The 15,986-nt window shown below is 41.3% G+C and overlaps 1 protein-coding gene and 1 pseudogene across 14 annotated transcripts in view; one reads left to right on the top strand and one right to left on the bottom strand.

The window, feature by feature from the left end:
* The window catches only part of MCPH1 (microcephalin 1), a 241,882-nt gene that overhangs the window by 170,958 nt on the left and 54,938 nt on the right, over positions 1-15,986 (bottom strand). The window lies entirely within an intron of this gene.
* On the top strand, positions 864-3,709 carry LOC101928016 (adenylate kinase isoenzyme 6-like; annotated as a pseudogene).

Here is a 15,986-nt window from a genome sequence, read left to right as displayed (position 1 = left end):
TAAAAAATATTTTTCCCACAGAAATAAACTGTAATAAGTTTTTTGAAAAGTTACATCACTTAAAAATAAACATTTAAGCATATGTCAAAGAAAAAAAACCTTTATATTCCTGGAAAAAACAGGCCAAGAGATAGAAACTCAGATACTGTCCCCAAAGCAATCCAAAATAATCCAGACATGAGGTACAAGAGCAAAACAAAAAAATTTCCCCCAGGAATCTGTTCCACCAGTTAGCCAGCAGACCTCCAAGTGTGTCAACGTCTTCATGCACTTCAAAGTGAGAAAGGGTAAGAAGGGTGTTTTTGTAGACTCGTCAGCCACTTTTCTCAAGACTTCTAGGCAGCCTCATTCTCATTTCAGACACAGGTGCACAATAATGCTTGTGCTTCTGTTGCACCTGTCAAGTGAATCCCCCACATACAGAAGCATGGATAAGGGAACTTATTTGTTCTATTGACATCTGCTATCAACTGGAATTGAAAAAAATTTAAATAAAATGTTTAATTTTTTTTTTGCTTATCTAAGAAATGCACGCTGACTTGCAAAAAATTTAAATGCTATAGAAATATATAATCAGAAACACAAATTTTCCTGTAATTCCACCAGCTAGAAATGACTATTGTTTAACAATTTGGCAGTATATTCAGCCAAATGTTCACTCTATAGGAGTGTGTGTGTATGTGTATGCATGCATATACATATATAAACAAAAATGAATTCACATTATTCATATACTTTTGTAATTTACATGAAATACTTCAAATGTAACCAACTGTGTAGTATAACCAATATGTCTTGAAAAGTCAAGGTGAAGTAAATGAGAAGGAACAAAAGGCATTTGAAGGACCCCAGGGTTGACGAAAATGACAGACATGAAGCGGTTTGTATACTACGTATTTGGGGAAGGACTGCTGGTTTATAGAGATCTTGTCTCTGTTGGGTGAAAGATAACAGAATCTGATTTGCTAGTATTTTTCGTTTGTCTGCTTTTCTACTTTGGTTTCAAAACAATTAAGAATTTCATGCCATCAGGAAGTACACATCTGAGTAAAATTTTATATTTCTGCTTTTAAGTTTGGTCTATGACTGAATTTTTTTCTTCTTCTTTTTTTTTTTTTTTTGAGATGGAGTTTTGCTCTTGTTGCCCAGACTGGAGTGCAATGGTGCAATCTCGGCTCACTGCAACCTCCATCTCCCGGGTTCAAGCAATTCTCATGCCTCAGCCTCCCAACTAGCTGGGATCACAGGCGCCCACTACCATACCGAGCTAATTTTTGTATTTCTAGTAGAGACAGGGTTCCACCATGTTGGCCAGGCTGGTCTCCAACTCCTGACCTCAGGTGATCCACCCACCTCGGCCTCCCAAAGTGCTGGGATTACAGAGGTGAGCCACCGCGCCTGGCCTGAAATTTTAGAATTACAGCTTACAAATTATCTATGTCTGTTTGTATGTCTGTATTGTACTGTGGAAATGCCACTGTAGTGAATACTGACAGTTTCATATAGCCTTGGCATCTATTTTGATGATAAGTTTAACCTTCTCATACCAGAAACAGGGCTTAGTTTCCCTCGACAGCTTCCACCTGCCACCCCCAGTCCTCAATGGGGTTGATCCAGGGATCTGCCTTATACACCTCCTCTTTCTGGTGACGGCCTCTCTAAGAGACAGTCTACCTGGCTGCCCTGCCAACCCCACACCCCACATGGACTGTGGAGTATGCCACAGGGACCACCTCTCAGTTGCTGTGTGATCCTGAAACTCATGGCTGCCTGTTTTAAACTCACCAACTAAAACTCCCTGCAGGAAACCTGCTTGGACAATGCCCTGGCCCCCAGTAAAGGTGGTGGCCCATGGGTCCCACTCTCTCTTGCTCTATGCCTGACACTTCATTCATTCTTCTGGTGACCTGGGGATAGAGCATTGCCCTCCCGACTCATGGCGCCCTCCCTCTCTAGGATCTGGAAGTAATAAATCTTGGAACTTATTTCCTATCGTGTTGGTGTGCTGAATTTGCACATTCCATCTGAAGAACCAGGGGCTCTCCCAGGCTACCTGGGTTTTCCCCGGGATGCTGGGGAGGAACACAAGGGCAGGCTCTGAGCACCAGAGCGATGGTCAGGCAGTCATAAACTGGAGAGGGGTCAGAAAAGAGCCACAAGGGCGTCTGCCAGGATAAGCACATCTCCCATGAGAGGAATGCCTGATACTGGTTTAGAGAACAAAGCATCAGGCTGTCCACCACGTAAAAGGAGTGCCCGTGAAGGGCACCCAAGTAAACACTTGCACCCTGCTCCCCAGCATTTGCTGTTAGGGCAGGGTCATTAGCTGCACTGGTACTGGAAGCCCAGTGTGGCAGGGGAACTTTCAAAGCAGCTATTGTCTCTCATCCTGGGATAACCATCATGAGATGGTCTTACCAAGTGAGAATGTGATAGCTCTTAAGGATGTTCTGTTCTGACTGGCTTAGAAATAAAGAGACACCTATAAATTGAATCTTCCTAAAATTCCCAGAAATTAAGGAAATTGAACTTCCAATAATACTTTCAACAGCACTAAAAAAAGTATTCCTATAGAAACGTAAATGTTTTAAGAATTCAAGTTCACACATTTAGGTAAATATTTGGCAAATGAGACTAGTTGAATATTTGGGGTTTAATAAAAATAGTCATGTCTTCTATGAGTTGTCAGCATTAAGTATTATTATTCTTATTTTTTAAGATGGGGTCTCTCGCTATGTCACCAAGGCTGGTCTCAAATACCTGCCCTCGGCAATCCTCCCATCTTGGACTCCAAAAATTTCTAGGATTATAGGCATGAGCCACTGTGCCCAGCCACACTATACATTGCTATTCTACTTTTACATGTTCTTACAAAAGCTATACAGATTTACTGATCAAATAAGTGAACGTTACTCGTAAAGTTTAAGACTATGAAAAAATGTAAATTTGTGCTTAATCAAATTGAATCATTAACCTGACAAACTTTTTTTAACAATAATTTTTTAAATTATTTATTTATTTACTTTTGAGAGACAGGGTCTTGCTCTGTTGCCCTAGCTGGAGTGCAGTGGTGCAATTTTTTTTTTGGAGACAGCAAGGTGAACCCATTGCATGTTAAAGTCTTAGTAGTATTATGAAATTAGTTTTGACCCCACAGACTCCCTGAGTTCAGTCCTAAAGTGTCACTTTGTTCTGACTTGGTGATAGAAACGTGTCATAGAAAGCCAGGTACACCAGAGGTTGGAAAAACCACATATCAGAATCAAAATCAGGATTGAAATACATTAATGTGGGTGATTTAGCTTGAGAAAAGCAATTGTATGACGACTATGATGAAGAGTATAATTGTCCCATTTTAGATGAAGACAGAGTAGCTGATGAGTTAGATAACCAAATGAGAGAATGTGGAGTTATTGTTGATTACCACGGTTGTGATTTCTTCCCTGAACGCTGGTTTCACATAGTTTTTGTGTTGAGAATAGATGCCAACATATTGTACGAAATACTTCAAATGAGGGGTTATAATGAGAAGAAACTAAAAGACAATATTCAGTGTGAGATTTTCCAAGTTCTTTATGAAGAAGCCACGGCATCCTACAAGGAAGAAGTTGTGCATCGGCTGCCCAGCAATAAACCAGAAGAGCTAGAAAATAATGTAGATCAGATCTTGAAATGGATTGAGCAGTGGATCAAAGATTATAACTCTTGACTTATAAGGCTAGCTACTTTACAATCACTCTTGCTGATATCTCTCTGCTGACATCATAGAAATTGTTTAAGTATCAGGAACGCTTTATTAAACTCATGTTGCAGGACCAGCAGGCGGATAGTATAAAGGTTTATGCCTATGTTTCTTTTTCTCCATGAGAAAGCTAAACATATGAAATACAACAAATATAGCATTGTTAAGGATTGAGACAGGCTGGGCGCGGTGGCTCACGCCTGTAATCCCAGCCCTTTGGGAGGCTGAGGTGGGCAGATCACGAGTTCAGCAGATCGAGACCATCCTGGCTAACACTGTGAAACCTCATCTCTACTAAAAATACAAAAAATTAGCCGGGCATGGTGGTGGGCACCTATAGTCCCAGCTACTTGGGAGGCCGAGGCAGGAGAATGGCGTGAACCTGGGGAGACGGAGCTTGCAGTGAGCCAAGATCGTGCCACTGCACTCCAGCCTGGGCAACAGAGCCCGACTCCGTCTCAAAAAAAAAAAAAAAAAAAAAAAAAAAAGGATTGAGAGAAAAACTGTCATTTCAATGCTTAAATTGCTACAGAATTAATAAATCTGAAGAAATATAAGTGGATATCTTTTAAGTTTATTACAGAAAAAATGCAGATGATCTCTTAAAACTAAAGACTAAACATTTAAAAACAAAGAAAAGTTTACCCAATATTGATGAGCCTGTTTCTTTGGTTTACTGTTTACCACATTCACCTAAAAAATAAAGGCTTATTCTTTTTTCTGTATAATTGGCTTAGATTCCAAAGATTCTGTGTTTTATGAGAATAACCTTCTATGGTTTATATTGACTTTATTTTACCCTTGAGTATTCAAGAAATCGTGTCTCTTAGGAAAGAGCTAAGGTTCTTTACAATCATGTTACCTCTCTGTTTACTTTTAAAACCTTTTACAGTCACTTTGATTAAATAGGTAGTCAAAAATTGTTTCTAAGTTACATGATCCTATTGGAATCAGGTATTCAAAATTTCTTGATAATTTTTGATATTTTGCCTTCCGCAAATCAAATCCTAAATGATATATTTTGTACTTAAAACTGTCTGAGGCTGGACATGGTGGCTTATCCCTGTAATTCCAGCACTTTGGGAAGCCGAGGCGGGTGGATTACCTGAGGTCAGGAGTTCGAGACCAGCCTGGACACCATGGCGAAACCCCATCTCTACTAAAAAATACAAAAATTAGCCAGGCATGGTGGCAGGCACCTGTAATCCCAGCTACTTGGGAGGCTGGGGCAGGAGAATGGCTTGAAACCCAGGAGGCGGAGGTTGCAGTGAGCTAAGATCGGGCCAATGCACTCCAGCCTGGGCGACAGAGTGAGTCTCCATCTCAAAAAAACAAAACAAAACAAAAAACTGTCTAAGATTCCCCAGACATACCTGGAAAATAAAAAGTATTTGTGCTTTTACTTTAATAAAAAACAGATGCTTGAAATAATTAGGAGATCCATTTGATGTGTTACTATTGATAAGTTATATGGGACAAATTGTCACATCAAAAAAGATAGCCAGCCCTAGGTTAAATATATGTTATTAATACATAGGTGTTTATGTCCCCTCTAAAATAACCCTCTTGATGTGATATTCTTGGTCTATTCTAATTATATGCTTGGCATATTCATTGTATATTATGTCTTGGGACTATTTTGTTATATCTGAAGATTTTTTCTGTAAAGATTATGTTCTTCCATTTTTATAAATTAGATGCAACATCCACTGTTCTTTTAAAATAAGGTTAATTATGGTGTTTCTAGATGCTGTATCTAGAACTTTTTTGGGTTGACTCTGTTTTGCACACCATAACTAACTTTACTTATCAGTTGCCAATACTGTTGTAATGAACTCTCAATAAATTTAGTTTTGAAAATTATCAGTAATACGAGAACCATAGCCATTTAAAATCTTTTGTCACCTACAGATTTCTGTTTTTCTCTGACACTTCCCTGATCAGCATCTGCAATTAGCTATAGGCCAGAGTGACTTACCTTCGACCAAGAGGGGGCTGTGTTAGAGCCCCGTGGAGAAGAACTATGCTGGGTACTTTTGGGTACAGGCTTCTTATGGCATTGTCTAAATAATGCTGAGACCCCACCAGGGGAAGAGGATTTCTATAACCCTCATTGAGAAGCAGACGGATTCATGAGACTGCTAACCCAAGATCAAGTGGAACAAAAATTAATGACTAGGCCCAGATGAACTACTGAAGGAGGACTGCGGCTTTTGTTTACAGTATTGTTGCTATTTTAACACTCTATATTCTGGATACATAAGGAACCCTTTCTCTTCTCCCTCTGCCTGTATCTCCTAACAATTCAGTCGACTGTGCTTTTATAAACAGAAAGGAAACATCTGGAAATGGTATCTTATTATCCCTGCCTGATCCCTCCAGAATTGTGAAACTGTAATTGAGTATCATTTTTTTCAGCGCAATATAATTATTTGCATAGATTAAAAAACAATCCATCTTCCTAGTTACCAGGACATAACTAAAAACAGTGGCTATGCAACCATGGCCTTTGCTGGAATGTCGTATTTGAGAGTGATATTCACTTACTCAGAAATAACCAGCCACCTAAGTCCTCAGGTTGATTTTATGGCGCCAACGCTTACAAAGCCCTTTTGGGGAAAGAAGCCTGGTACTTTGCTTACGGTGTTCTCAGCCTTACAGGTGAGCAAGGAAGGTCACTTGGTGGTAGGTCCAAGATCCACTGAGTATGTTGGTCACCCCCCAAAAAAGGCATTCCCCCAAATTTATAGGCACTGCAGGTGAAATCTGAAAAAAAAGGACCTTCGATACTTAAACTGTAGCAGCCTCCATTGTAAGGAAATTTAGAGAAAGAATAAGATGACTCCCTTTGGAATGGTATGAGCAAAGAAGGACTTTCCTAATTGCTAACTGGATGGTAGAAAAGACACCCCTTAGTTTATGTACATCTTACAGCAGCAACACTACTTTTCTCCTTCAGTTTGAGACAACACTCCTTCAGTTTAACAACCCTCTTTACATTTTCTACTAAAGCTTATAATGGTGGAATAATAAAGCAACCACAAAGTGAAGTACAGCCTCTGATTCCTGTGGCATGGCCACTGGCAGGGCATCGTTTGGAGGCCCAGAAGTTTATGTGTATTCATGAGTTACTCATGGGTTTACTTGTATTCATGAAACATGAGAGGCAGCAAAAGCATAAAGCATGTATCTTAACATTTTATTTAAAAGTACGAGGATCTCAGAGCCTGGCATGGTGGCTCACATCTGTAATCCCAGCACTTTGGGAGACCAAGGTGGGCGAATCACTTGAGGTCAGGAGTTCGAGACTAGCCTGGCCAACATGGTGAAACCCTATCTCTCCTAAAAATACAAAAATTAGCTGGGTGTGGTGGCAGGAAACCTGTAATCCCAGCTACTCAGGAGGCTGAGGTAGGAGAATCGCTTGAACCCGGGAGACGGAAGTTGCAGTGAGCGGAGATCGCGCCACTGCACTCCAGCCTGGGTGACAGAGCGAGACTTTGTCTCGAAAAAATAAAAAAATAAAAAAAACCCCAAAGTATGAGGATCTCAGAAATGAAAAAACAAGTACAAATTCTATTATATGGACAGCTCCAGGAAGCTGAAACCTTTATCTTATTATTAGCAATATATTAATATGAGATATTACTCTTCCATTCGTCTAGACACATCTCACAAATTTAAGTATGTCAAGGTATCTACTACAGAATGCCTACTGCAAAGAAGAAAAACAACCCTTTTCTGTTTTTAACATTGTTATTCGATGAGAAAAAAACATGCAGGATTCTTTTCCTTAACAGGAAAAGCACACAGTTAGGCGCATCCAAAGGCAATCAGAGCAAACGTGAAAAAGGTGGTCACATGAAAGAATCCAACGACCAGTGAGAAACAATAACAGACATGAAACACTGTATCTACACAAAAGAATGTTCTGAAAGTTCTAAAGGAGTAGAGATGAGGGAGCAGGGAGAGAGAGAGAAAAAGAGTATTGAATGCATGATTATTTGGGAAATGGTCTAGCTGATTTTGTTTTAGTAAGACCAAAGATAGGTCAAGTTAAACAGATATACCCGTTTTATTAGTGATAAATAGAAACATTTCAAAAACAAAACATTCTTTGAAATCTTTTGGGTTTAGCTATCAGTTCTTTGGTAAACAGTGAAATTAATTTTCCTTAAGAATAAGTAAAATAAGGAGATAACCCACATATTCACAAAGATTATTAACCTTGTTCACGCCCAGTATAAGCCCATCTAAATATATATGGTACTATCAGAATCATATATTTATATAAATTTTGACTATAGAGGAAATTTTTAAAAATAAAATCCAATATGACAAAAGATAAATTCTGGAAAAATGTCTTCAAATCCCATCCTGAGGATATTATATGACCTAGATCCCTGGCAGCTACATCGTGTAAAGCACCTTCAGAAAGACTCAGTCTGTGGACCCAAGAGATCCCAGATCTTTAAACAAGTAGCTTATTAAATACAATAATAAGCTATAGCATTAAATATAATAATGTTGATATTCCCCCATTTTTAATTTTATACATGCTATGATCTAAAGATGGGTTCAGTGTAGAAAATTGAGACTAAAATCTTTAAGTTTCTTTTTTGTTTATTTTTGAGACAGGGTCTCACTCTTGCCCAGGCTGGAGTGCAGTGGTACAATCACGGCTCAGAGCAGCCTCGAATTCCTGGTCTCAAGCCTCCCTAGTAGCTTGGACCACAGGTGGCCACCATCATGTCCAACTAATATTTTTAAAAAATTATTTTTAGTAGAGATGAGGTCTCACTCCTTTGCCCAGGCTGGTCTTGAACTCCTGGCCTCAAGCGATCCTCCTGCCTCAGCCTCCCAAATTGCTGGGATTACAAGCATGAGCCACTGTGCTCAGCCTTTAGCTTTCTTATAGTAACAGTTTCAAAACTTCATTGTCCTTCCTTATATATTTTTTCCCTTATGTGGACTGTTTTTTACTCAAATTCACAGACTTTTAATATTCAGGTTGCTTTGTTTTTCTAAAAACTACAATACCTTTTCCAAACAGTTTCAAATAATACAATAATAGTGATCCATACAGCACCAGTATCAGTTTTCAATACTTACTGTCTTGGATAAATATTTTTTCTAATTTTCATAGCAAAAAAAAAAAAAAACCAAAAAAATGTACATCCAAGTAGTTCATCATTAGTGTCTAAAGTGTTCAAACAATACATCTGCACCACCTCAATTAAAAAGATGTTTCATCTAGCAAACTCGGTATCTAACACTAAAGCTCCCATGGGGTCTACACATGCACCTAGCTCCTTGCTCCTTGTGGAAGTCGCTGGGGAGCCCCAATGTTAGATCTTATTTTCACATCATCCTTTCTCCTCTCCAAGAAGAGGGGCTGGCCAGGGAGAGTAAGAATAAGCCTGCGGTCTGGGTGTGTGGGAGAAGGGTGCAGGTCATGCTTGTAGGACAGGGCAGGTGGGAGGACAGCATAGGGGGCATGCACAGGTGACACCCGGGAACATCCAAGCATCCCCCTTCCCCAAACAAAGGACCATAGGGAATTCCAGCCTACCCACAATAAGGGGCAGTGGCAGGAGGAGAGAAGCCACAGAGCCCAAGACCGTGAGGTGCAGGCAGGGTGCACTCTTATCTGCACAGGAAAGACTGCCTCTGAGCTCTGGATCCTTGGTGGTGAACTCAAAAAGCAATGTGCTCAAATTGCTTAAGCTAAGGTGTAGGGCAGAAACTCCTTATACTACCCACTCTAAGTATAACCCCAAACTCACCAAAGCAAATGGGCTGAACTTGGGGAAAAATATGCAAATTCATGGATTTCCTGGCTAGTGCTACTATTTTGAGAAACAGACACGTACACACCTCTACCTTCCAACTCCACAAGAATTACTCCATGGGCCAGGCATGGTGGTTCATGCCTATAATCCCAGCACTTTGGGAGACCCAGGCGAGTGGATGGTTTGAGGCCAAGAGTTCAAGACCAGCCTGGTCAACACAGCCAAATCCCATCTCTAAAACAAACAAAAAAAATTAGCTGAGCATGGTGGCACCTGCCTGGAGTCTCAGCTACTCATGAGGCCAAGGCTGGAGGGATCACTTGAGCCCAGGCAATCAAGGCTGCAGTGAGCTATGATCTCGCCACGGCACTCCAGCCTGGGCAACAGAGCAAGACCCTGTCTTTAAACAAAACAAAAAAAAAGAATTATACCACAACTTCAACCCTGTAAACTGTTTCATTCCTACTTTCCTATCCATGGTCCCTCGTTTTTGTTAAAACTTCACCTGAGGAAGTAAAGTGACAGAAAAATACTAAAAACAAAAAAAGGACAAAAGACACAACCTATAAATTCTGGGATAAGATTTTAGTACTGCTTTTAATGATGAGAACTAGATTGCAAATAAATAGCAAATATACTTTAAAATGAAAAGCAGAAGATATTTCTGCAGAAAAATAAAACAACACAACTTCAAAAAAAAGTTTTCAAAATTGAAAATCACTGATTAGGGAGACCAGAATAAGAAGCGCTTCATACCAAGCTGCTCCAGTCACTGGTTTGACAGTCACTGAATATTATATTCTTTTCCTATACAGACTCACTATTGATATATAAACTAAGTCTTAAGTCTATCCAAAAGTCACAAAAGGATATGCCAAAAATCTATTTTAAATACCTCATAATTTTTTTAACAAACCCTATTATAACGCCTCATTAATTCTGAATTGCAGTTTTTGTCATTGTATTTAACCCCTTCTGAATAATAATGTTTTTATTCCCCTTTTTTAAAAACAAATCGAAATTACCCTGGATTAATATCAAATAATTTATATTCCTAAATATTATTTGGAAGGCAATAACTTTTTTAAAAGTGTGAAGAGTTAAAGACGTAAGGAAAGGCAAAGAAATAAATATAATTGAGGGCAGGGCGCGTTGGCTCAACCCTGTAATCCCAGCACTTTGGAAGGCCAAGGTGGGCGGAACACTTGAGGTCAGGAGTTTGAGACCAACCTGGACAACATGGTGAAACCCCGTCTGTACTTAAAAGTACAAAAATTAGGCCAGGCGCGGTGGCTGCCGCCTGTAATCCCAGCACTTTGACAGGCCGAGGTGAGAGAATCACGAGGTCAGGAGATCGGACCATCCTGGCCAACACGGTGAAACCCTGTCTCTACTAAAACACAAAAAAAGGGCTGCGCGTGGTGGCTCATGCCTGTAATCCCAGCACTTTGGGAGACCAAGGCGGGCGGATCACGAGGTCAGGAGAGTGAGACCATCCTGGCTAATACGGCGAAACCTCGTTGCTACCGAAAATACAAAAACTTAGCCAGGTGTGGTGGCACGCGCCTGTACTCCCAGCTACCCAGGAGGTTGAGGCAGGAGAATCACTTGAACCCAGGAGGTGGAGGTTGCAGTGAGCCGAGATGGCACCACTGCACTCCAGCCTCAGCAACAGAGCGAGACTCCAAGACTCCATCTCAAAAAAAAAAAAAATTAGCCAGGCGTGATGGAACGTGCCTCTAGTACCAGCTACTCAGGAGGCTGAGGCAGGAGAATCACTTGAACCTGGGAAGCGGAGGTTGCAATGAGCAAAGATCGCGCAACTGCACTCCAGCCTGGCGATAGAGCAAGACTCTGTCTCAGGAAAAAAAAAAAAAAAAAAAAAAATCCAAAAATTAGCCAGGTGTAGTGGCACGGGCCTGTAGTCCCAGCTACTCGGGAGGCTGAGGCACAAGAATCACTTGAACTGGGGAGGCAGAGGTTGCAGTGAGCCAAGATAGCGCCACTGCACTCCAGCCTGGGCGACAGAGCGAGGCTCTGTATCGGATGGATGGATGGATGGATGGATGCATGGATGGATGGATGGATGGATCGATAGATAAAATTGAGTAGGAAATAATTATTCCTCAAGAGAACAGACATAAATTTTTCCTGGGAAAACCACTCACATTTAAAGTAAATTCTAGCCTTCAAGACAAATACGTACAGCTGTGCATTTCTGTGTGTCTACCTTACCGCGTGTCTGAGGAGCATAACAAACAAAGCCGCTTGTTACTTATTAACATGAGTCTCTGATGTCAGTGGAAATAAGCCGTAAGGTTTGCAGGCCTCCCCCGCCCTCCGCCCTTCCTTGTTTTGGTTCACTCTCTTGGCTTCCTCCTCCGCTGTCGCAGTTCCAGAAGATGCGTCCAGCCACAACAAAGCTCTGAGGACCCGGGGAGCATTTCTTCCCAGGGCTATCACAAGTGAGAGAACGCTTTCCAGAAACCTCCCAGGAAGACTTCCCTTCACATCTTGTTGGACAGAAGTGAGTCACAGTCTCAAACTAATTACTGGTAAGAGGAAGAGAATACCGGTGATGTGCTGAGACCAGGCGTCCGAGGACGGGGTGGACATGGGGTGGTGGGAGCAGCGCAGTGGCAGGGTCACTTGGCGTGAACAGCTCCGCGGGAAGTGGCCGCTGCCTAAACGAGAGGGACTGGTACCAGAGAGGCGCAGTGCAGAGCATCTTTTACTTATCTACAGTCCCTTTACTCCCTTTTAAAATAAAAATAAGGATTCAAGTTTGCTACTTCAGCAAGCTATTGAGTTTCCGAATATCTCAAACAGATTAATTGGATATTTCTAGACCCATTTAGCACAGTTTACTATCATTAAGCTGACTCCCCGCAAACGGTGCAGATAGTAAGATAGACCTTAGGAGCTAGCAGCTGTAACTATTTAAATTGGGCCTCCACATCTCTCCTTTGCTCAGTGCATAGAATGCCTACCAGCAGAATTTTTCTTTTTTTTTTTTTCTGAGATGGAATCTTCTCTGTTGCCCAGGCCAGAATGCCGTGGCATGATCTTGGCTCACTGCAACCTCTACCTCCTGGGTTCAAGTGATTGTCCTGCCTTAGTCTCCCGAGTAGCTGGGACTACAGGTGTGTACCACCACACCCAGGTAATTTTTTGTATTTTTAGTAGACACAGGGTTTTCCCATGTTGGCCAGGCTGGTCTCAAACTCCTGACCTCAGGTGATCCACCTGCCTTGGCCTCCCAAAGTGCTGGGATTATAGGCGTGAGCCACCACACCTGGCCAAAGCAGCAGATCTTAAATAGACTTCTTCGGCTAGCTCCTCTCTTAGCGCCTGTGGGTCTCCCAGTGGGAAATGTCCTCCGTCGGTGGCCTCTACCTTTACGTGGCCAAAGACGACCACTGAGGCACAGGAGATCCACCCTGGCTGGTCCTCATTTCTACCACGTCCAGTCCAAAACACATTTGACAATTTCTGAACCACACATTTACAATGCATGCAAAATCAGTTAGTGAACAAATAAAACACATTTTTAAAAAGATGGAGTTCTTTGAAGATCCTATTTAATGTTTTCTGTAGAAATATTTTCTCTCATACATAACAAGAAAAAAACAACGTGCTAATGGGGGCTGAAAGCAACTGTTAGGCTATCAAGAGGCAGCTGTTTTTTAAATGGCTTCATCAAGCAACATCTGCTGATGGACCCCACACCTGTTACAACGAGCACATCCCCGCCACTGCCAGCTCTGGGTACACTCTGCCAAAAGTGATTTATCAAAGCAATTACAGATCACTGAAACAGCTGTGTTGGAAACCAAGGGCACCTTCGATCTTACAGAGCTCACTGGCCGGCTGGTCGGCACTAAAGGGCCTATCTTTCTGCGTACAGCGGGTCTGAACAATGGAAATGATTTACATGGATATTTACAAAGGGTGTCATCCTCGAGGAAGTGTGGCAATTCCCCTAAACGTGTGATAACAACATACCCGTGCTGCATTTTCAAGAAAAAATAAATAAATATCACCTGTCCTTTGGATGAGTCACTGCTCTTTCAACTTGAAAGTTAAATTTAAAATCAAAGCTACAAGAGTATATGCTTCCAGCCAAGTGCACCATCTAATGGAAAACAGCCAAAGGCCTGGCATTACTGCAAACTGTAAAACTGCATTCATAAAATATTAGTGTCTCCATTACAGCAGTGAAGTACTCATTCCAGAACCTTTTACTTGAAGGACAGGAAACGCCAGGAAAATAATCCATTTTACATGAAAATTGGCTCAAGTATTCTATTTTCTCTGCTCAGGAAGGCATCTGTGTCCCTGCAGCTCTCTTTCCTCCTGCCCCTAGCTGGCCTGGCCACACTGCATCTGGGCTAGGCCTTTCCCACCCTCTGGGCATCTAGTACTCTTTTTATTCCCACCACTGGGACCCTTTTATCTTCTTTCCACTGCAAGGCTCCTTCTCTGGGGATGCTACACCCAAATGAGCTGTAATTCCCAATCTACTGCCTCCGCAATAAAGACATGATTAGAGCTCTCTGAAATATACTTTCTTTTCAGCTTTCCATATGACTGAGAAATAGAAAACTCAATCTAAAAAGAGGTCACAATGCTCAATAAATGACAGCTGTGAGTACCCTATCGCAGCTCACAAAGATCTCAGTTCTTTCAGGAAGGTTCTAATGATACTGGAGATGAGGAAAGCATCTCTCGAAAACTGAGGAAGCAGATCCCCCAAGCGGGCATTTCTGACCGCAGAACTCAGTCTTCTGCCTCCTGGGGGAGATGACAGAGCACAATTTCATGCTAATGGCCTACATCTCACCCCCAAAACAAAGGTTCTCAATGGGAGGATGACCATCAGCTCAGAATCACTGAAGGAGCTTTTAGAAAAGGCTATACTCCTATACTCACCCCCTGCCCAAGACTCTATTTTGGCTCTGGCATGCCTGTGGTCAGTAAGTCCAACAAGAAACACAGTGTGGACTGTCCCAGAGTTTTGAGGGTCATTTTCATTAAAGACACATGGTGGTCTCTGGGAGTGGGCAAAGAGGAGGCAGGTAAGAGAGACCTACTCCAAGTTATAGCTGCAGAACAAAGCACAGTCAATATGCAGACATGACCCTCACCCAAGCTGGTGCTGAAGAAAATAGCTAACATTTTTTGAGCACTTCTATATATGAGGTACTATCTTAAACTCTTTGCATGTTTCAACTCAATTAATTAGCACAAACCCTTTGAGGAGACTGGTACTATTATTATTATTCCTGTTTTATACACAAAGAAGTATAGGCACAGATATTAAGTAATTTGTTCAACACCATGGAACCCACAGAGCAGGTGAGTAACAGAGATGGGACTGAACCCAGGCATCTGGCTCTGGGGGCAATGCTTTAGCAACACTGCGCTGCCATGCACAGCCTTGGAGAAGAGAATCCATCTTTTACTGAAAGAAGACAGTCTCTCAAGTTTTGGAAGAATATTCAAAAATAAGTGAAGTACATGATGATGATTCCATCATTACTGAGTGATGGTTAAGAGCACCAAAAATGTTTTAAACATGTTCACTGAAAAAGTAAAAGGGAAATTAATGCATCTCTTATTTACTCAGAAAATATTTACTGAGCACTTATTTTGTTTGTGATGCTATATCCTGCTGAGTATTAAGAGACTAACAGGATATAGACTATGTCCTTATGGGCTCATATTCTAGCAAAGATGTAAGAACAAGCAACTATCAGCATATGCAAGCTATTATTTGTTTTGCACCCTATTTGAGAAACTTTCAGGAATTTAAGCATTCTATGTGGTGTGTAATTCTTTAATTTTTTTAAACCACTATCAAAATAAGTATGCTCTATTTGTTCCTTCACATCTCTCCAGGCCTCCAGGCTTAGGAAAGCCTCTGTAAACATTTCTGTGCTCTGACCCACAGCTTGCCTTCACATGCAACAAGCTGGATTGGCAGAGATGGCTCCAAAATGAGATTCTACAACTGAGCCACTTACAAAAAGCTATCCTGTTGATAACTCACATTAAAAATGTTCCTGAGGATAATAATCAATATTTTGAAAAACCAAATCCAGAAGTAGTAGAATAAACCAAATACTTGGAGAAAAAAAAATTACATTCGTGTATTTCTACCAGAGTGCTGGTATCTATACATAGCTTCTTTGGGTTCTGTGTCTGACAATATTCAACAAGTAACAAAGAAAACAGGTCAAAATTCGTCATAATATTTTCTATTTCTCCCTCTGAAAAGATGTATAACTATCAATGTCAATGACCTACATGCTGCAAGCTAAGATTACAGAGGTAATAAAACTGCTTAACTGGATCCTCCAAATAAAGTCTCACCAGGCCGGGTGTGGTGGCTCACGCCTGTAATCCCAGCACTTTGGGAGGCTGAGGCGGGCACATCACTTGAGGTCAGG

Source organism: Homo sapiens, chromosome 8, assembly GCF_000001405.40.
Source record: "Homo sapiens chromosome 8, GRCh38.p14 Primary Assembly".
In the NCBI taxonomy this organism is placed as follows: domain Eukaryota; kingdom Metazoa; phylum Chordata; class Mammalia; order Primates; family Hominidae; genus Homo; species Homo sapiens.
The sequence above is the reverse complement of the archived record's forward strand: the minus strand, read 5'-3'. Positions and strand labels throughout refer to the sequence as shown.